This window comes from Homo sapiens, chromosome 2 (assembly GCF_000001405.40).
Source record: "Homo sapiens chromosome 2, GRCh38.p14 Primary Assembly".
NCBI lineage: Eukaryota > Metazoa > Chordata > Mammalia > Primates > Hominidae > Homo > Homo sapiens.
The window spans coordinates 156,078,535-156,100,693 of record NC_000002.12 but is presented as its reverse complement, the minus strand read 5'-3'; the positions used below and the strand labels follow the sequence as shown (position 1 = coordinate 156,100,693).

Sequence of the window (22,159 nt, the reverse complement as noted above, 5' to 3'; positions counted from 1 at the left end):
GAAAGTGTATACAGGAGAGTTAATATTTTAATGAAGAAGAGATTAACCAACTGAATGAAATTTTACTGAAATATCATAGAGAATGAAAAATTAGTCAAGTCCATTGGATTGCAGAAACAGGAAGCCATTGGTGACCTTTAATTACATCCTGGAATTTACTTGCTAGATAATTTTGGTACTGGTTTCAATGCACTTCTTCACCATTTGAAAATGAACATATGTTTCCGTATGTGTAAATGTAAGCTTTTCAAAGAGGTGGTTTGGCTTATTTTTCACTGGAGGTAAGAAATAGTGGTGTGTGTGTGTGTGTGTGTGTGTGTGTGTGTGTGTGTGTGTGTAGGTGACTGCAGGGAGGAGAAGCACTTCAGATTTCTAGTCTTTTTCTTTGTCTTCTTTTTTCCTCTTCTTCCCCCTTTTAACACATCTAAATGGCACAGAAGTAGGAGGACATGGTCTGGTTTGAGGGGATAAGCTCTGGGTCAGGCAAGTATCTTTATGTTTCCTGTAAAGAAAAAAATAGCTCTTTGTTCACCCATCTCAAACTCTGATTTATTCTCTTAAAGGCTAGCAGCATTTGGGGATCTGCTGTGTTCTACTGCATTCGACGATCCTGCTCATATGGTTTACATGACAGAACGGTCTCACACAGTTCTTTCAAAAGTTCAAATCTGGGCTTAAGAAGCTGAAACTGGCAGTGAGATGTGATTAAGCATATTGGAAGGACAAAGATAGTCTTGTGTTTCCACAACAGCCCGGGCTTAAAAGAGCTTATTTCAGCAAGAAATACGTGTATTTAAGATATATGTACATATGCAATATACATAGACTACGTATATAATTCATTGCTCTCATTTTAATAAAAATATTACTTCTTGATAATGTAAAAAGGTAACTTATTTAAAACCAAAAGTATTTGGGCAAGCACATCTCAGTTTTTGGAATTAAAAATGTTTTCGGTCAAAATGTTAATGGCTCAGCTTATAGGTTGCTTTGTGGTGTACACACTCATATACATTTAAGATGTAGGCTAGAAGAAAAAGTACTAGTTTTTGGGATCCTGTTTGATTGCATGCCACAATTCAAGGTAAGCAGGTGGCCTAGTGAGATATAAAAGGCTTGCTAAACAAAGAATTTTATTTCCTGGTTGGTGCCTGCAGGGGAGAAATTATGAAAGGAAAGCAGAAACCTGACAGTTAAAGAGAGTCCAGAATTTTGAAATGAAGTGTTTTTATTGATTTTAAAGGTATGCAAATTAATTACAATTTACAAACAAACATAAGCTTTTGAAAATGATAGATTATTTTAAGCAATAATAACAGGTGAAAAAATAGTTCATTATACTCCATATGAAATCATAACTATAGCTCAGTAGAATGGTATGACTATTTTACCATAGATGACAGATTTTGTAAGAAACCAAACAAGTATACAATTTGAAAGAAAGAGTGGTATATTGCTTAGTTATCTATTCTTTTGCATAAGCTATTAATAAATAGATCAAATGAAAAAAAATCTTTAGGAGATTATACCATGCCAAATTTTAAGGTGTTTTGTTGCACCGATTCTAGCTTTAAATTATTTTTAAATAGTAAAGGCCATTCACCTGGAGCTAAAGAAAATCTTCATTTTAGTAGACATAGTAAATAAACACTGGGCATTTCTTGCATTTCTGAAATTAATAGTTATTTGGAGCCACAAATGTGCACGTTTGTTTTCTTATTTTCATAGGTGATTTCACTAAGCAAAAATCCTTGTTAATCCTACATTCACATAGATAGAAGGTCAAAGTTGGTCAGTGAGCCAAGAAATACCATATCAGGGTTTCTTTCCCCTCCAATTGAAAAAGGTATAAATTGTGGAATTAGTGTATTGATTGAAGGCTACAACTTCAAGCAATCAGTTTTTCTGGCTTGACAAGATTATTTTATCCTACTTTTCTTTTATTATTATGTGTAGTATTTGAGTCATCCTTCAGGCAGATGAAGTGACAGCTTGATTTAACTCAATAAAATCCACCAGTTAGGTAACCTACTGAGCCGAACAAAAGATGAAAACGATGGCAAGGGGCAGGTGCCCTGTTAGTTTAAGCAAGCAGAGGAGTCTGGAACAGAAGAAAATATTAACAGAAATTATTCTCTAATCAATGCATTTCTATGGGAACTTGAAAGAAATTTGTAAAACCTTCTTGCTAGGCAATTGAGCAGATAATGCCTTTTCTTTAAATACAAAACAAAATAAACAAATCTTTAAAACTAGACTACATGCATGAAAAACAATACCTTCATAATGGCTGTGCTTTTGTGTAATTGCAGCAAGTAAAATAATCTTTAATTTCATAGTATATCTGAGACGAAAATGCTGCATGATAGATTTGTAATAGCTTGGAAGTTAAAACTGTAATTTGTGTATCTTTCATTGAACCTAACATTTGCTTTCTTACATCGTATCCAATTGATGCCTTACATGATTTCTTCAAATTATAATATTTTAACATTTACAAATAATATCAATTTGAATTTTCCTGAGAAACCTAAATACATAAGCCATAGTAGATGTTTTGTTTGCAGAACTAGAAAAAGAGTCTTATAATTTAAAATGCTCACTTAAAGCGATTGAAATTTCTTAGGCTGTGCATTGCTCTTCGATTACATATAAAGCTTTCGTTACTGACAATGGGAGTAGCTCCACAGGCAATCGGGAACAATTTGTATGAGCAGAAGTTTGATGTTAAATTAACAGTTTCATTACACTTTTCGAGCTTTAGAGTCCACACTATATTTCACATTACCTTAGTGTGCTGACATAAATACAGAAATCTTGGAAAAGTGTGCGTGAGGTTTGTGGTGGGTGGGGTTTGAGTTTTGTGGTGTGGTTGGGGGTGGAAGATAGGGAGTAGTTTAATTATTTTATGGAAATTTGGGAATTCCTTTTAAGGCAGCACTCTCAGGTTTCAAATGGGTCTGATCTGGTCTTTGCAGGAGATATATGTTATGTAACCCAAATATATGAGAACCAATTCTTTAAATGCCTCCTAAAGTTTATTTCAATAAACAATACTGGTATCAAATAACTTTCAGAAATTTTCGCTGTAAAGTTAGCATAAATCTCTCATAGGATGGTAAATAAATTTTTCCTTGCGTACCAATTTTAACCAGTTGGTAGTGTTTTCCCGACATTGTGAGAGGAGGATGATTCAGAGTTTCTATCCAGGCATAGCAGGAACAAATGAGATTTTAGCGATAACTGCCTCAAGTCCAGGTGGGGGAAATCATGGCCCATGGGCTGCTATTTTTTAGCTACTTGTTTTTTTCAAAAGGATGTAAGTCATCTTTGTTTGTTTAAATTTGTATTGTATAATTCTTATCTTTGCTCTTCTCTTAATTTTCCCTTTGACACACATTCATCTCAGCAGAACTTTCCACAGTTAAGGGGAATTTCTGCTGGGAAAGGGAGGTAGTATTGAGTGAGTGTGACTACTTGGGTTGGCAGCAGCCGTATTGTCTCCACTGACATAACAATGGTGTTGGCAACTTAACATCACTGACAAGGAAAGCTAGGCTGGTGGTGCTCTGGGGCAGGTACCCCATTCACTGGAGGCCCCGGCATTACAGGGATGAATTATTTCCAAATACTTCTCATTTCCTTTTTGACCCAACGAACTGGAAGTACCTTGAAAAGCTGTAGTTAACATAAAGGAAATTAAAATCTCATGCCTATGGGTATAAGATTTTTATACCCTTAAATCAAGGAGAGAGAGAGAGGAAAAAAAGGAAATATTTTTCAAATAATCCATACAGGATTTCCCTCTTATAGCCAAAACAAATAGCACGTGTTTTATAAGCAATCACTGCATATGCATGTAGTGACTTTGTCTCACATATAATTTAGAAGGCACCATTAGATGTCAAAAACAAGATTCAGCTCTTATTAGCCCAAGAAGTTGAAATTAATTAAGGTGAGTAATTTTAATAAACTTCATTTAAAGAATGAATAACTTGTTAGGGCATTCATGACGAATGCCGACTTTTTGATCCCCACCCCTTCACATGTGCTCAATTTTATGTTTGTGGTCAATACAAGGTTAAAGCTATTAGAGTGCCCCCCATTTAATTTCAAAATTTATGTAGGTTTTTTTCTCTAGCTTTATTTTATTTTATATCTAAGTATACATGTTTAGTGTGATGAGTTTTGATGATATATACCCACATTATCATTACCCAAAGCAATATATAGAACATACCTATCACCTTGAAATTTCCTTCATGTCCTTTTTGAAATTAATTCCAGACTCCTCCCCCTTTTTCATGTGCACAAAGTCAATCAATGTTCTGATTTCTAGTTTTACGTGTATATAAAGTTTTGTTTGATTTTGGATTTCTTATAAATAGAATGATTTATAAGATGAATTATAAATGCATATGTTCTGTGCCTGGCTTCTTTCACTTAATAATATTTTTAAGTGAATTTTAAGATTCATTTGTGTTGTTCTTTTTTATTTCTTAGTAGTATTTCATTATACAAAAATCACAATTTGTTTATCCATTCTGTTTTCAGTTTCTGGTTACTACGAATAAGGCAATTAAGTACAAGCCTTTTGTGGGCATAATATTTTCACTTATCATGGTAAATAGCTAAGAGTGCAATTGATGGGTCATAGGTGAGATGTATGCTTAATCTTTAAAAACTCATTTGAAAATTTATGTGTGTAAGTTAACTTTTATTTTTTGGTGTGCAGTTTTATGAATTTTAACACAATATTCAGGATATAGAATGGTTTTATTACTCCGAAATACTCCTTTTTGATGCCCATTTGTAGTCAAACACTTCCTCCTTTTCTAACCTTTGGGAACCACTGATGTGTTCTTCATCCTCAGGGTCAAGATGAGATAAAAAACCATTGAAGAGTTTTGAAGAGAGGAATTACTTGATCTAACTACTGCTTTAAAAAGATCACTCTATCTGCTATATTGAAAATAGACTGTGGGTTTATATATGCATACACATCAAGATAACATATAAATAGAATCATATTGTTTATAACCTTTTGAGATTGGCTTCTTTCATTCAGAAAACTGCCTTTGAGATTCATCCATGTTGTTGTGTAAAACTATACCTTGTTCCTTTCTATTGCTGAATACTATTTTATTGCATGTATGTATCAAAGAATGTCATTTACTTTTTAAAGGACATTCACCTTGTTTTTAAGTTTCGGGCTGATGTTAGTAAAATTGTTATAAATAGTCAAGTACAGGTTTGTATAGGAATAGCTTTATCTCTTCATTTTTAAACTGTATGCATTTTACTTAATTTTTTCTTACTTCACTGGCTAGGCCTTCCAATAAAACATTGAATAGGGGCTGTGAGGATGGACATCCTTGCCTTGTGACTGATTTTATGATGTTAGCTGTGTATGCGTTTTTTAAAAATTTTTGTTTTTACATTTCCTTTATCTGGTTAGGGAAGTTTCATTCTATTCCTCATTTGCTAAGAGTTTTTGTCCTGAATGGATGTTAAATTTTGTCAACCTCCATCACGTTAACAGACTAAAGAAGAAAAACTAGGCAATCATAATAATTGGTACAATTAATAACTGTACCAATTAATATGATAAATTACCAAAATTGGCATTCAATATTGAACTAACCTTGCATTCCTGAGTCAATCCCACTTTGTCATAATGTGTTATTTTTAAAATTTATTGCTGGTTTTCATTAGTTAACATTTTGTTAATAATTTTTGTTGGTGAATTTCATAATGGGTATTGGCTAGTAGTTTTATGTCTTGTTCTCTACTCGTCAGTTTTGTGTGTTATTCTGGCCACTTATAATATGTTGGGTTTTAATCCATCCTTTTCTATTTTTCTGGAGAAATTATGTAGAATTGGTATAATTTCTTTTTTAAATGTTTGGTAGAATACAACAATGAAAACATCTGCTTAGAAGACAATTCCCTTACATTTCTGCACATTCTGTGATAATTTTTATTCCAGGATATCTTGTCAAAGATGTTTGCATAATGAACAAACTTGGAAAATAGAGAGTGTTTTTGACCATAGCAGAGGGCAGATTGATTTTCTATCCAGAATAAAAAGAAAATGTCTCCCTCTGGGCAGAGCTTTGGGCAGGTTCGCTAACAGTTCCCTTGTAAGATGGGGTTTCCTATGCTCAGGATTCCTCAGCTATGACACAAACACACTGTGTGCACAGAATCTACCTGGGCTCCCTTCTATAACATTGTCATGTGATTTAGAGGCCAAGGGGAACCAATACAAACATGAAGATTATGCTGCCTGCCATGCTGAGAGTTATAAAGTCCTTTGTCTCTGAATCCAGAGCCTTGTGCTTTCTCCCAGCATAGAGGAAAATGACAAGAAAACTTTTTGTCTTTCTAGCAGGGTAAAATCTTAGACCCTTCTCAGTTCTTCACCCTGGGAATAAGTTTCCTGTTATAGACAGGGCTCCTCTTATTTGAATTTGTTTATAATTATATAATATGAGCATGTTCCATTGTATAATGCTAATTGCTAATTTCAATTATTCTTCATTCATTCCTTCACATATTTACCAAGTGTTATTTGAATGCCAACCTTGTGACATGCACTATTTTAGGGTCTGAAGATACAGTGGTGAATAACAGAGAAAAATGTTTGTCTTTATGGAGCTTATGTTCAGGTGAGGAGAGACAAGTAAACAAATAAAATATACATTATAATATGTCAGATAATAATTAAAGCAGGGAAAGAGGAGAGGGACTACTGCTGGGGGTAGGGTTTTTTGTTTGTTTGTTTTGTTTTTTATAGGATGGTTACTGTTACAGAAACATTTGTGCAGAAATCTGAAGGAGGTGAGGCATGAGCCATGGCAACACTGGGGGGAAAGAGACCAGCAAAGAGACCAGCAAATTTATAGGTCTTGACTTATGAGTGTAACTAGTGTTTCAGTAATAGTGAGGGACACAATTGCCAGAGCAAAGTAAGGGAGAAGGATGTGGTGGCCGATGAGATCATTAAGGTAGTAGAAGCTGGATTGTATAAAGACAAACGTTTACTCTCAATGAGATAAAAAAAATTGAGTTTTGAAGAGAGTAATTACTTGATCTAACTAATGCTTTAAAAAGATCACACTCTATCTGCCATATTGAAAATAGATTGTGTATTTGTATGTGCATACGTGCGTGTGTGTCGGGAGGGAGAAGTGAAGATGAAAAGAGGAAAACACATTAAAAGCTTATTATAATTATTTAGTTGACAGAATATGGGACTGGGTTGTTAATGTTGGGGATGGTGAGAAGTGGTTAGATTCTAAGTTATATTTGGAATGTTTATCTAATAGAATTTATGGATGCATTGCATGTGAGTATGAGGGAAAGAAATGAGTTAATCTAGCTTCCAAGGTTTTTGACTTGAGGAATTTGAAAAATGGGAATGCCATTGAGATAAAGAAGATGATAGGGAGACCAAGTCCCAGACATGGTATCTTTGAGATAACTCTTGGACAACCAAGTGAAGATGTCAGGTAGACAGTTTGTCAAATAAAGAAAAGATCTAGGTTAAAGTTGTACATTTTGAAGACATCAACATATAGAAACTGGATATGATTACCTTGGGAGTGTGTGTAGATAACAGAGAGAACATTCAGTGGTTGGCTAGAAGAGGAGAAAGAAACAAAGGAGAAAAAAAAAGAGACCAGAAAAGTAAAAGGGAAACCAGGAGTCTGTGTTCTTTCTAGCCACCTGAAGAAAATATTTCAAGAGGGAGTATGAGCATGTTTTAACAGATGCCATAGGTGCTTCACTCACATCCTTGGACCTTGCTATTCAGAGCATTCCTGCCAACTTTCAGCTTCTTTGTACCTAAGGATTTCCACATCTTTGTACCTAAGGATTGTTTCCAAAACCAAGGAAATTCACTCTGCCCAAGCATAAACCAGGCCAGAAATGCTGGTTAATTAATATAACTCTGCCATTCAGAAGGCCTTAACCAATGACTTGAGGGAGCCACTGTATAAGTACCCCAGCTCTCTAGATCCTTAGGTGGAAATAATGCTGAGATGAGTGTTCATACCCTTTCTATGTGTTTCCTCATGGAACTTAATTCCAGTGATGGCTGTTTTAATAATATACTCTTCATTGTCTGGCTTTTCTTTCCTGTACCACTTCCCACTCACCTATTAGTGTTCCCTATGATTCCTAAGTAAACTACCTGCCTTTGAACTCTTGTCTTACGGTCTGCATAGGAAAAAACCCAAGCTAATTATCCTGAAAGTTAAGTAACATGAGGGCTGTATTTGACTATTGGAATTAGCATCAGTGGCCTTGAGAAGACTGGTTTCAGTAGAGTGTTTGGGATAAAGTTTATTAGATTGCCTTCAAGAAAGCAGAGAAAACAATGAAGTAGAGATATTGATTATAGACTACTCTTAGGGAGTGTTAATAGAGGGAAGCAGAAAAATGGAAAGGTAATATGTAGCCAAGAGAATGTTTTTATTTTAAAATGAGAGGAATTACAGCATTACAGCATGTTTGGTTGTTGATGGGGATCATCCAGTAGAGAGGGAGTAATAATAGTGTGGGGGAAGGAGAAAGGACAATTTCTGTAATGACATACTTGAGGTGTCTAGAAAGAAAAGGGATTGAGTGGATAAGTTTTCACATAGGAGCATAGACAGTTTAATATGTTGAGCAAAAAAAAAAAAAAAAAACAGCATAAGAGCTCAGATTTTGGTAAGTGGGTAGATATGGTAGGAGGATGTGGAATGTCTTTTCTGATTACTTCTATTTTCACTCATTTGTTGAGACATGGGGGGAGGTATGATACTTTGAAGAGGATGCAGAAAGTATGAAGTAGGCATTGAGGAGAATGAATTTGTTAGAGAAATAAAATAGTTTCTTTTTAAACTTAAAATTTATTTAAGTTCTGTTATCACGAAGTGAAAGAGAAACCAGTGAACATGGTTCTGTGTTTTTCTCCAGTTATAGTCAACTGCAGAGTTTTAGGCACAAAGCAGATGGAGAATTACATTTATCCATGCTTGAAATTTTTTCCAAGTAAATATTATGAAAAGAAAGAGAATGTATGAAAAGGAATGATTACAAAGATGAATCATGGAGTAGAAGCTGGGTAAGAAATGGAAGAAAGAAGTCACTAAAAATGAAGCTGGATGTTGTATTGATGTATTGAAAGCCCAAAGGTGTGATAAAATTGCTGGAATTAGGAGTCTAGAGGGACTAAGCTGGAAAGATAGAAGGTAGAGTCAGGAGAGTGAGATGCATGCAATTAAGATGATGGAAAAAGAATAAAATTATTATCAGTAACATAAATATTTCAGGCTTGGAGGCCATAGAAGCTCTGTTGCATTTACTCAGTTCTGCTGTTGTAGCTAGAAAGCAGCCACAGACAATACTAGTGCACATGGTTGTGTTCCAGTATAATTTTATTTATAAAAACAAGCAGCTAAGCAATTAAAGCAAGATTTCAAGATACGTGGTTAATATACAAAATGCACTCACTTTCCCATATACCAGCAATGAATGAGTGGAATTTGAAATTAAAAACACAATGCCATTTACATTAGCACCACCCCCAAATAAAATACCTAGGTAGAAATTTTAAAAAATGTATAAGATCTATATGAGAAAAACTACAAAACTCTGATGAAAGAAATCAAAGAAAAACTAAACAAATGGAGAGAGATGCCATGTTCATGGGTAGGAAGACTCAACATTGCTAAGAAGTCCATTCCTCCCAACTTGATCTATAGTTTCAATGCAATCCCAATCAAAACCCAAGCAACATGTTATGGTGGTATCAATAAACTGACTCAAAAGTTTATATGGAGAGGCAAAAGACCCAGAAAAGTCAACAGAATATTGAAGGAAAACAGGAAAGTCAGAGGACGAACACCACCAAACCTTAAACCTTACTATAAAGCGACATTAATCATGACAGTGTGGTATTGGTCAGAGAACGGATTGATTAATGGAACAGAATAGAGAGCCCAGAAATAGACCCACATAAATATAGTTAATTGACATTTGATAAAACAGCAAAGGCGACACAATGGAGAGAAGATAGTCTTTTCAGGAAATGGTGCTGGAACAACTGGACAGTCACATGCAAAAAAAAAAAATGTAGACACCGACCTTACTTTTCCTCCAAATAAATCTAAATGTCTCATAGACCTACATGGAAAATGCAAAACTCTTAAAAGGTAATATAGAAAACCAACTAAATGACGTTGGGCATGGTAATGACTTTTTAGATACAACATCAAATGCATGGTTCATTAAAAAATTGATAAGTTGGACTTCATTATAAATAAAAATGTCTGCTCTGGAAAAGTCACTGTCAAGAGAATGAAAAGATAAACCACAGACCGGGACAAAATATCCTCAAAGGGCATTTCTGATAAAAGACTGTTGTGCAAAATATACATAAAAATCCTTACAACTCAACAATAAGTTAAAAAATAGACCAAAGACATTAATAGATACGTCACAAAAGAAGATATACCGATGAGTAATAAAGATATGAGAACATATTCAATATCATGTGTCATTATGGGAATGCAAATTAAAATGACAATGAAATATGCGTACACAACTATTAGGATGGTTGAAGTCCAGAACACCAACACCACCAAATGCTGGCAAGAATGTAGAGCAACAGGAACTCCCTTTATTGCTGGTGTGAATGTAAAATGGTACAGCTACATTGGAAGACAGGCTGGCAGTTTCCTACCAAACTAAACATACTCTTAACACACAATCTAGCAATCATACTCTGTCTTAGTTCATTCAGGCTACTACAATAATAATACCATGGACAATGTGGCTTAATTAATTTCCTATACTTTGAGAGGCTGGGAAGCTCAAAATCAAGGCACTAGCAGATTCTGTGTCCAGTGAGGTTCTGCTTCTTGGTTCATAGGTGACTATCTTTTTGATATGTCCTCACATGGCAGAAGGGCCAAAGGAGTTCTCTGAAGAGTCTTTTATAAGGCCATCAATCCCATTCATGACAGCTCCATCCTCATGACCTAATCACCTCCCAAAGGCTGCATCTTCCAAACCATCACTTTGGAGGTTTCGGTTTCATCATATAAGCTTTGGGGGAACACCAATATGCAGTTCATAGAACGTTTCTTGGTATTTACCCAAAGGAGTAAAAAACTTATGTCCATTCAAAAACCTACACACAGATGTTTATCGTAGTTGTATTCATAATTGCCAAAAGTTAGAAGTAATCAAGATATCGTTCAGTAGGTGAGTGGATAAATAAACTGTGATACATCCAATGTTTTTATTTAGTAATAAAAAGAAATGACCTATCAAGCCTTAAAAAGACATGGAGGAAACTTAACTGCATATTACTAAGTAAAAAAAAAAATCAATCTGGAAAGGCTGCCTACAGTATAATTCCAAGTCTATGACATTCTGAGAAAGGCAAAACTGTGGAGACAGTAAAAAGATCAGTGGTTGCCAGGGGTTAGTGGGGAGGGAGGGAAGAATGGGCAGAGCACAAAGCAATTTTAGGGACATGAAACTGCTCTGTATGATAATATAATGGTGAATACATGTCATTATACATTTTTCCAATCCCATAAAATCTACAATAGGAAGAATAAACCTTAATGTAAACTATGATTTGGGTGATAATGATGTATCAATGTAGGCTCATCATTGTAAGAAATGTACAGATGGGGGTGGGGGAGTATGTAGGAAATTTCTATACCTTCCCCTCAATTTTGCTGTGAATCTAAAACTACTCTAAAAATAATGTCTATTAAAAAACGAAACCAAACAAAACAAACAAGTAGCTGGCCCATGGAGATAGTTTGCCAACCCCTAGGGTATGCCCATGAATCTGAGTCAGCAGAGGAGAATGGCAGACAGGCCTAGGAGTGGAAGTAAAGGAATGAGGGACCTGAGTGTTGACAGAGCCGTCGATGTGGACAGTTACGTTACTCAGACCAAGCAGAGTAATGCTAGGGAGAGTGGCAATGAGCCTGTTGTCTAAGTGATTAAGGAGTGAAAGGGGGTGACTCTGGTGTTAGTAAATGACTACACAAAGGAGAGATAGAACAATCCATCTTTTACCGTACACAGAAGTTTCCAAGTATCCTGAATATCTGAACTTGACTATTGTTAAGATGACATAAAAAGGCAAAGCATGTTTTGCTAGGGATTAAATAAATATGGAAATATATCCAAGGAATCAAACTTACCTTAAAACAAATGCTGAATAGTTATCAGTATTTGACCCACACCAGGCCAGACCTCTGCTGTTTGTGGCATTGATAACCATGTAAACATGATGTCAGACATGTTTGGAGACAAACAGGTTTGGATGCATTCAGTGTTAATTCTTAATAACCTACTTATATTGTTATTTTAACTCATTGCATTTCATTTTACTTTTACTTTATTCGGTGAAATGTCAGTATCTGCTAAATGAAATAATTCTTTCACACTATGACTAAACTAACCTCATGTACATGTTGAGTGATAAAGCTTGTACCCTGATACTACATCAAAAGCTGGTTTAATGGCTGACAATATATGTCTCTCTTAACTGCCTCTGATTTGCAGAAATGTGGCTACTTCCTGCGTTGATGTCAGCTACAGCTGGTTAAGTACTGTGAGGGCAGGAAAAGGACAAGAGCCACTTAGAGGAGTTTTGTTTCCAAATGATTACTCATAACCATAGATTGTAACATTAAGATGCCTGAGACTGTAGATTAATCTTTTTATCAACCTGTGTTCCTTTGTCCACCCATCACTTCTTTACCATTTAAAATTCTTGATATTCTTTGTCAGAATCACATCACAATTCCTTGAAATTATAGCTTAGTAAATTGCTTGTTTAGAATTTAAGTGAAAGCATTTATAAATAAATATAGTTTCCTTGTATTCTTCACTAGATGTCATTTACTTTGACTAAATTTACTTAAACCATTTTAACCTTTCGGAGAAAGTCCAGGATTTTATTTTTTTTTTTACTTTTAAAAATACTCAGCTGACATTCTGATTTACCAAAAGGACACTACCACCATTTTTCTGAAGTGCATCTGTTCAAAATCAGAAAAAAAGAAAGCCTTTCATTTTCTTTTTTTCCATTAATTCTTTTTACCTCAAAGAGTTTGGGGAATTATGATTATAGGTGACTTATAAAGTTATTAAATTCCATATCTAAACCTACAATATGCCAAATACTATCAACTATATTAATAAGTATCATGAATATCAAAATAGTCATTGCTTTTTCTTTGTGCAAACATATCTAATTGAGTGCCTCTCCTATTGCTACAGTCTGAATGTTTGTGTCCTCCCAAAATTCGGATGTCAAAATCCTACCTCCCCACAAAGTGATGGTATTAGGAGACAGGGATGCCCAAGGGAGACCCCTGGCCTCTTATACCATATAAGGACACAGTAAGAAAGTGCTGTCTATGAACCAGAAAACAGGCCCTCGGCAGACACAGAATTTGCTGGCACCTTGATTTTGGACCCCCTAGACTCTAGAACTCTGAAAAATAAATATCTGTTGTTTATAAGACACCCAATTTATGAGATTTTTTTAATAGCAGACTGAATAGACTAAGACACCAATTGATGCAATATAGCACTGCCTCTGTGTATTAGAGGAAGATGCCCCTGCCCCACTGAGAGATGGACAGGCTCTGAGAGGAGAGGTTTCCAGGAACCTTTCTGGGGATAGCTATATACACATTCTTGAGTCCACCTGTGACCATTATATTGGCCAGATGGGCTAGCTAGAGCTTCTAAAACTTTTAAATGTTCTTGTTCTTTTTAGAAGGCAAATTTTTTGGTAGATGTTTTTAATTAAAAATTCTTTTTGAAAATAACCTGTTTCCAATTACATAATAAAAGGTGTTTTACTATTCATTATAGAATGAACCTGACAGAGTAGATGAAAGAATGTTTGCTGTTATTTTATGCATAGGAAATTTTTTACAATTTTAAAAATAAAATTTCACTATCAATTCATTTCAATTCATAGTGGAGACAGGATATTCAGGAAGAAAACCCTACATTTATAGTGTGCGAATGTGCGTGTACAAAGACAACACTCACAGATGTAAACTGATTAGTTACCATTACAATCCCAAATATATGTTTTTGAAGAATAGAATTCCTGGCATACAAAAGCTTCTAAATGACTGGTTCAAAGACTTTTGATGATATCTATAGTTATTTAGTTATTTGAAATGAAGCTACTTAATGGACTGAGAATGTAGACAAATAAGAGTTTCAGGTTACTTATTGCAAGTGTGTTATAAAATAGATTAATATCTAGTTAATTCACATTCTGTCTTTATACTTGTTAGGAGTAGATAAACAAAACATTGATTTTTGACTTAGGATCACATTGGGTTAAATTCTTACTCAATTTACCTTGCATAGTAAATGACAAAAGACAAGTATACTGATTGTTTCAAGTACTTATTATTTAGAAGAATGATATATTAAAGCAACCATACCTCGAAGTTAAGCTCACATTTGTATAAGCTGTGTTACAATTGTAAGACTATGTGTATATGTATGTAGAGATATACATATATGGATATCTAACTATTATTTAGTATTTATAGACTACTGAAAATGATTTTGTAAATTACACGATTCAAGATCTTTACAGAAAGAGAAAGCATTATAATTAGAGCCACATCTATTTCCCTTTTTTTTTTAAATTTGAAAATGCTGCTTTTCTGTGATATTTTAGATATTAGAGTTGAGTCATACACTTTTGGAGTCTTCATTAGAAAACAAGTTAATTGTAGAATTAGGAAGATGGATTTATTTACTCTCTTATTTCCTACTCAAAGCACGATGCGAGGTGCTAGGATGGTGAAAGATACAAAGAAGATTGAAAAGAATTTACTGTAGAGTAACACTGTCAAATAACATTGAGAAATTGAGCATATTATATTAATATTAAACTCTTGAATTTTTGTGATGAAAATTACCATATTAAAGGCTCCGACAAGCTTTGATGGAAATAAACTTATTTAAATTTGTTGAAGGCATCATTTCCCAGGACTCTTTTTTTGGAAATGACTGTTTATTTCTCTAACAATTTCTATTTTATGAAACAGACTGAGAAATGTGGGAATGCAGTAGCCTCTTTATCTTGATTCAGACCTCTCTCCCACCCTAACTTCCTGTGTTTAGTACGAGTTACAGATGCTCGCCATGGCAGAAACTCTGTGTTGTACATGGACAGCCATAGCAAATGATCCAGGTAGAGATTTCCTTTTATTATAATTGCCTCCTCGTAACCAAAATAGTTAGGTTTGCAATAACTTTTTCTCCAGTTTCTGATTTAGAAGGCCCTGACTACACAATTTAAAATGTTATCCAGTGTACTCATAGGATCTAAATTGTTAGTAAGCTCCTATCTTCCCTCCCAGGTACTGAGCATATTTATAATGACTGTGTAGGGTCACCATGTCACCATGACAAACTATTAGAGGGACACTTGGGGGAAGATAAAACATTTCAGAACCCCAATACCAGGATGCATGTGCAGTTGACAACTTGGCCTACATCTCCAACTTGCCCTTTTCTGAGGACTTCCATGGTAGGAATTTTAATTGACAATCATTTTATAATTATAATCTTTTTATAATGCTGACTTAAAAATTTGACCAAAAATTTTTCATTCAGCAAAAAATATTTTAAGTTACTTTTATCCTGGTAGTAGGGTATCCATTATGTCATCCAAATTACTGCAAAAGCCTCATAACTGGTCTCCGTGTTTCTGCTGATACTCCCATGCCACAAGGAATTTTACAGCTAAAGGACACTTATGAAACAACCTTCACATTGCTCCCATTTCAGAAAAAAAAGGCCATGTCCTCAATGTATTCAACAAAGGCTCACATAGCCTGATCATCATTCCTTCTCATCTGCTACCTCTCTTCCTCTTACTCATCTTTATCGACACTGGCCTCCCTGCCTCCTATTATCTCTGAATAAAATGTCTTCTAAAATAGCACATGGAGGTGATCTCAGGATCATGGTGGATGGGAGGCAGGACTAGATTGCAGCTCCAGACAGAGCAGCATGCAGAGGCTTGCATTGTGAATTTTAGCTCCAGATCGACTGCAAGGACAAAACAGCAATTCTGAGAGGACCACAGACCCTCTGAAGGAAGCGGACTGCTCTTGCCGTACCCAGTAGACATTCCAAATACTGTGAGTGCCCCAACTACGGACGTGGAAAAGGGAGACCCTCCTCTTCTGAACACACCCCCCGACTAGAGAAGCTGAAGTCTGTTTGCCAGCGAAGTTCCCAACTTTACTTGGAACTGAGTCAAGTTAGAGAGCTGAGCCGAGCGAAATACAGGGGTGGAGGAGGCAGCAGGGAGGCCCTGGGATCTCGCTGAATCCTCAAGCAGCCCATTCCTGCCTGACACCATAGGGATCCATCAGGAGGGAGGCCAGTGGAGCAGGGGGAATAACTCCACGGAAAGAAAATCTTCCCTAGCTGAACTTTATAACAATTTGAGCGGGGCGAGAAGCCTCCTGGGCAGAACTTGGGGGAGGGTGTGAATCTGGCTTGCAGACTTCACAGGCGGGGGAAGAACTAAAGCCCTTTTCTTTCACAGCTGGGAGGTGGAAAGCCTTGGGCAAGTTTTCAAGCCTGACTCGCCCTCTGTCTGGAAACAGACTTGGGGCTGTTGCGGGGGACACAGTGGGAATGAGACTGGCCCTTCAGTTTGTGTGGGAGCTGGGTGAGGCCTGTGACTGCCAGCTTTCCCCCACTTCCCTTACAACCTGCATGACTCAGCAGAGGCAGCCAGAAGCCTCCTAAGTAAACAACTCCAGTGACCTGGGAATCTCACCCTTATCCGCCTCAGCAGTACCAGTAAGACCTGCCCAAGGAGAGTCTGAGCTCAGACACGCCTAGCCCTGCCCCCACCTGATGGTCCTTCCCTACCTACCCTGGTAGCAGAAGACAAAGGACATATAATCTTGGGAGTTCTAGGGCCCTGCTCACTGCCGGTTCCTCTTCATACTACTACAGCTGATACTTTCTGGAAAGCACCACCTCCTGGCAGAAGGCCAACCAGCACAAAAATAGAGCATTAAACCACCAAAGCTAAGAACCTTCACGGAGTCCATCGCACCCTCCACCACCTCCACTGGAGCAGGCGCTGGTATCCACAGCTGAGAGACCCATAGATGGTTCACATCACAGGACTCTGTGTAGACAACACCCAGTAACAGCCCAGAGCCAGGTAGATTTGCTGGGTGGCTAGACCCAGAAGAGAAACAATCACTGCAGTTTGGCTCATAGGAAGCCACATCCATAGGAAAAGGGGGAGAGTACTACATCAAGGGAACACCCTGTGAGACAAAAAAATCTGAACAACAGCCTTTAGCCATAGACCTTCCCTCTGACAGAGCGTACCCAAATGAGAAGGAACCAGAAAACCAATGCTGGTAATGTGACAAAACAAGGCTCATCCACACTCCCCACCAAAATTACACTAGTTCACCACCAATTGATCCAAACCAAGAAGAAATCCCTGATTTACCTGAGAATGAATTCAGGAGGTTAATTATTAAGCTAATCAGGGAGGGACCAGATAAAGGAGAAGCCCAATGCAAGGAAATCCAAAAAATGAAACAAGAAGTGAAGGGAGAAATATTCTAAGAAATAAATAGCTTAAAGAAAAAACAATCCAAAATTCAGTAAACTTTGGACACACTTTTAGAAATGTGAAATGCTCTGGAAAAGTGTCAGGAATAGAATAAGTAGAAGAAACAAATTGAGAGCCCAAAGACAAGGTCTTCAAATTAACCCAATCCAAGAAAGACAAAGAAAAAAGAATAAGAAAATATGAACAAAGCCTCCAAGAAGTCTAGGATTATGTTAAACGACCAACCCTAAGAATAATCAGTGTTCCTGAAGAAGAAGAGGATTCTAAAAGCTTGGAAAACATATTCCAGGGAATAATTGAGGAAAACTTCCCTAGCCTTGCTAGAGACATAGACATCCAAATACAAGAAGCACAAAGGACACCTGGAAAATTCATTGCAAAAAAGATCCTTATGTAGGTATGTGTCATCAGGCTATCCAAAGTTAAGACAAAGGAAAGAATCTTAAGAGCTGTGAGAGAGAAGCACCAGGTAACCTATAAAGGAAAACCTATCGCATTAATAGAAGATTTCTCAGCAGAAACCCTACAAGCTAGAAGGGATTGGGGCCCTATCTTCATCCTCCTCAAACAAAACAATTATCAGCCAAGAATTTTGTATCCAGAGAAACTAAGCATCATATATGAAGGAAAGATACAGTCATTTTCAGAAAACAAATGCTGTAAGAATTTAGCATTACCAAGCCACCACTACAAGAAATGCTAAAAGGAGCTCTAAATCTTGAAACAAATCCTGGAAACACATCAAAACAGAACCTCTTTAAAGCATAAATCACAGGACCTATAAAACAAAAATACATGTTAAAAAGCAAAGAAAAACAAAACAAAAACAAAGTACACAGTCAACAAAAAGCACAATGAATCCAATGGTACCTCACATTTCCATTTTAACATTGAATGTAAATGGCCTAAATGTGGCACTTAAAAGATACAGAATCACAGAATGGATAAAAACTCACCAACCTACTATCTACTGCCTTCAGGAGACTTACCTAACACATAAGGACTCACATAAACTTAAAGTAAAGTGGTGGAAAAAGGCATTTCATGCAAATGGACACCAAAAGCAAGCAGGGATAGCTATTTTTATATCAGGCAAAACAAACTTTAATGCAACAGCAGTTAAAACAGATAAAGAGGGTCATTACATAATGGTAAAAGGCCTTGTCCAAAAGAAAAAATCACAATCTTAAACATATATGCACTTAACACTGGAACTCCCAAATTTATAAATCAATTACTAATAGACCTAAGAAATGAGACACACAGCAACACAATAATAGTGGGTGACTTCAGTACTCCACTGATAGCACTAGACAGGTCATCAAGACAGAAAGTCAACAAAGAAACAATGGATTTAAACTATACCCTGGAACAAATGGACTTAACAGATATATACAGAACATTTCATTCAACAAAGGCAGAATACGCATTTTATTCAGCAGCACATGGAACTTTCTCCAAGATATAATAGGCCATAAAATATGCCTTAATAAATTTAAGAAAATTGAAATTATATCAAGCACTTTCTCAGACCACAGTGGAATAAAACTGGAAATCAACTCCAAAAGGAACCTTCAAAACCATGGAAATACATGGAAATTAAATAACCTGCTCCTGAATGAGCATTGGGTCGAAAACGAAATCAAGATGGAAATTAAAAATTCTTCAAACTGACTGATAATAATGACACAATCTATCAAAAACCTCTGGGATACAGCTAAGGCAGTGCTAAGAGGAAAGTTCATAGCCTTAAATATCTACATTAAAAAGTCTGAAAGAGCACAAACAGACAGTCTAAGGTCACACCTCAAGGAACTAGAGAAACAAGAACAAACCAAACCCAAACCCAGCAGAAGAAAGGAAATAACCAAGATCAGAGCAGAACTAAACAAAATGGAAACAAACAAGCCAAAAAATACAAAAGACAAATGAAACAACAAGCTGGTTCTTTGAAAAGATAAATAAAATTGATAGACCGTTAGCAAGAAGTTAGAAAGAAGTTAGAAGAGAGAAAAATCCAAATAACCTCACTGAGAAATAAAACAGGAGCTATTACAACTGACACCACTGAAATATAAAAGATCATTCAAGGGTACTGTGAAGACCTTTAGGCACATAAACTAGAAAACTTAGAAAGATAGATAAATTCCTGGAAAAATACAACCCTTCTAGCTTAAATCAGGAAGAATTAGGTACCCTGAACAGACTAATAACAAGCAGCAAGATTGAAATGGTAATTAAAAAATTACCAACAAAAAAAAGTCCAGGACTAGATGGATCCACAGCAGAATTTTACCAGACATTCAAAGAATTGGTATCAATCCTTTCAACACTATTCCACAAGATAGAGAAGGAAGGAACCCTCCCTAATTCGTTCTATGAAGCCAGCATCACCCGAGTAACAAAACCAGGAAAAGACACAACCAAGAAAGAAGACTACAGACCAATATCCTTGATGAACATAGATGCTAAAATCCTCAAAAAAATACTAGCTAACCAAATCAAACAACATATCAAAAAGATAATCCACCATGATCAAATGGGTTTCATACCAGGGATGCAGGGATGGTTTAACATATGCGAGTCAATAAATGTGATACACCACATAAACATAATTAAAAACAAAAATCGCAAGATCAACTCAATAGATACAGAAAAAACATTTGACAAAATCCAGCATCCCTTTATGATTAAAACTGTCAGCAAAATTGGCATACAAGGGACATACCTTTATGTAATAAAAGCCATCTATGACAAACCCACAGCCAACATTATACTGAATAGGGAAAAGTTGAAAACATTCTCTCTGAGCATGGGGATGAGAAAAAGATGCCCACTCTTACCACTTCTCTTCGACATAGTACTGAACATCCTAGCCAGAGCAACCAGACAAGAGACAGAAATAAAGGGCATCCAAATCAGTAAAGAGGAAGTCAAACTGTCCCTGTTTGCTGATGACATCATTGTTTACCTTGAAAACCTTAAGGATTCCTACAGAAAGTTCCTAGAACTGATGAAAGAATTCAGCAAAGTTTCCAGATACAAGATTAATGTACACAAATTAGTAGCTCTTCTATACACCAATGGTGACCAAGCAGGGAATCGAATCAAGAACTTAACCCCTTTTACAATAGCTGAAATAAAAAATACTTAGGAATATACCTAACAAAGGAGTCAAAAGACCTCTACAAGGAAAACTACAAAACCTGCTGAAAGAAATCGTAGATGATACAAGCAAATGGAACCACATCCCATGCTCATGGATGAGTAGAATCAATATGGTGAAAATGACCATACTGCCAAAAGCAATCTATGTATTCAACATGATCCCCATCAAAATACACAGAGTTAGAAAAAACAATTCTAAAATTCATATGGTACCAAAAAAGAGCTCTTATAACCAAAGCAAGACTAAGCAAAAAGTGCAAGACTGGAGGCATCACAGTAACTGATTTCAAACTATACTACAAGGCCATCGTTGCCCAAACAGCATGGTACTGGTATAAAAATAGGCACATAGAGCAATGGAATAGAATAGAGAACCCAGAAATAAACCCAAATACTTATAGCCTACTGATCTTCAACAAAGCCAACAAAAACATAAAGTGGCAAAAGGACACCCTTTTCAACAAATGGTGCTGTCGGCTAGCCACATTTAGAAGAATGAAACTGAATCCTCATCTCTCACCTTATACAAAAATCAACTGAAGATAGATTAAGAACTTAAACCTAAACTAAAAAAACTCTAGAACCTGAAATTATAAAATTCTAGAAGATAATATGGGAAAAACCCTTCTAAACATTGGCTTAGGCAAGGATTTCATGACCAAAAACCCAAATGCAATTGCAATAAAAACAAAGAGAAATAGGTCATGAATAGACAGTTCTCAAAAGAAGATATACAAATGGCCAACAAACATATGAAAAAATGCTCAACATCACTAAAGATCAGGGAAATGCAAATAAAAATCACAATGTGATACCACCTTACTCTTGCAAGAATGGCAATAAAGAATAAAAAAACAGTAGATGTTGGCATGGATGCAGTGATCAGGGAACACTTCTACACTGCTGGTGGGAATGTAAACTAGTACAGCCACTATGGAAAACAGTGTGGAGATTCCTTATAGAACTAAAAGTAGAACTACCTTTTGATCTAGCAATCCCACCACTAGGTATCTTCTCAGAGGAAAAGAAGACATTATTCAAAAAAAGATACTTGCACACATATGTTTATAGCAGCACAATTCGCAATTGCAAAATTATGGAACCAACCCAAATGCCCATCAATCCATGAGGGGATAAAGAAACTGTGGTGTGTGTGTGTGTGTGTGTGTGTGTGTGTATATATATATATATATATATATATATATATATATATATATATATATATATATATATGATGTAATACTATTCAGCCATAAAAAAGAATGAATTAACAGCATTTGCAATGACCTGAATGAGATTGGA

The 22,159-nt window shown here is 36.0% G+C and overlaps 1 long non-coding RNA gene across 2 annotated transcripts in view, besides 1 other annotated feature; it reads left to right on the top strand.

Moving 5' to 3' along the window:
• Positions 1 to 22,159, top strand: part of LINC01876 (long intergenic non-protein coding RNA 1876) — a 234,397-nt gene that overhangs the window by 154,238 nt on the left and 58,000 nt on the right. The window lies entirely within an intron of this gene.
• Positions 16,023 to 17,222: an enhancer, noted in NCBI's record as "MED14-independent group 3 enhancer chr2:156939984-156941183 (GRCh37/hg19 assembly coordinates)". NCBI's record gives its function as "activates an origin of replication core promoter dependent on BRD2, BRD4, P300/CBP and CDK7 cofactors, and independent of MED14, by STARR-seq in HCT116 cells {active_cell/tissue: HCT116}" and the evidence as "EXISTENCE:reporter gene assay evidence [ECO:0000049][PMID:35650434]".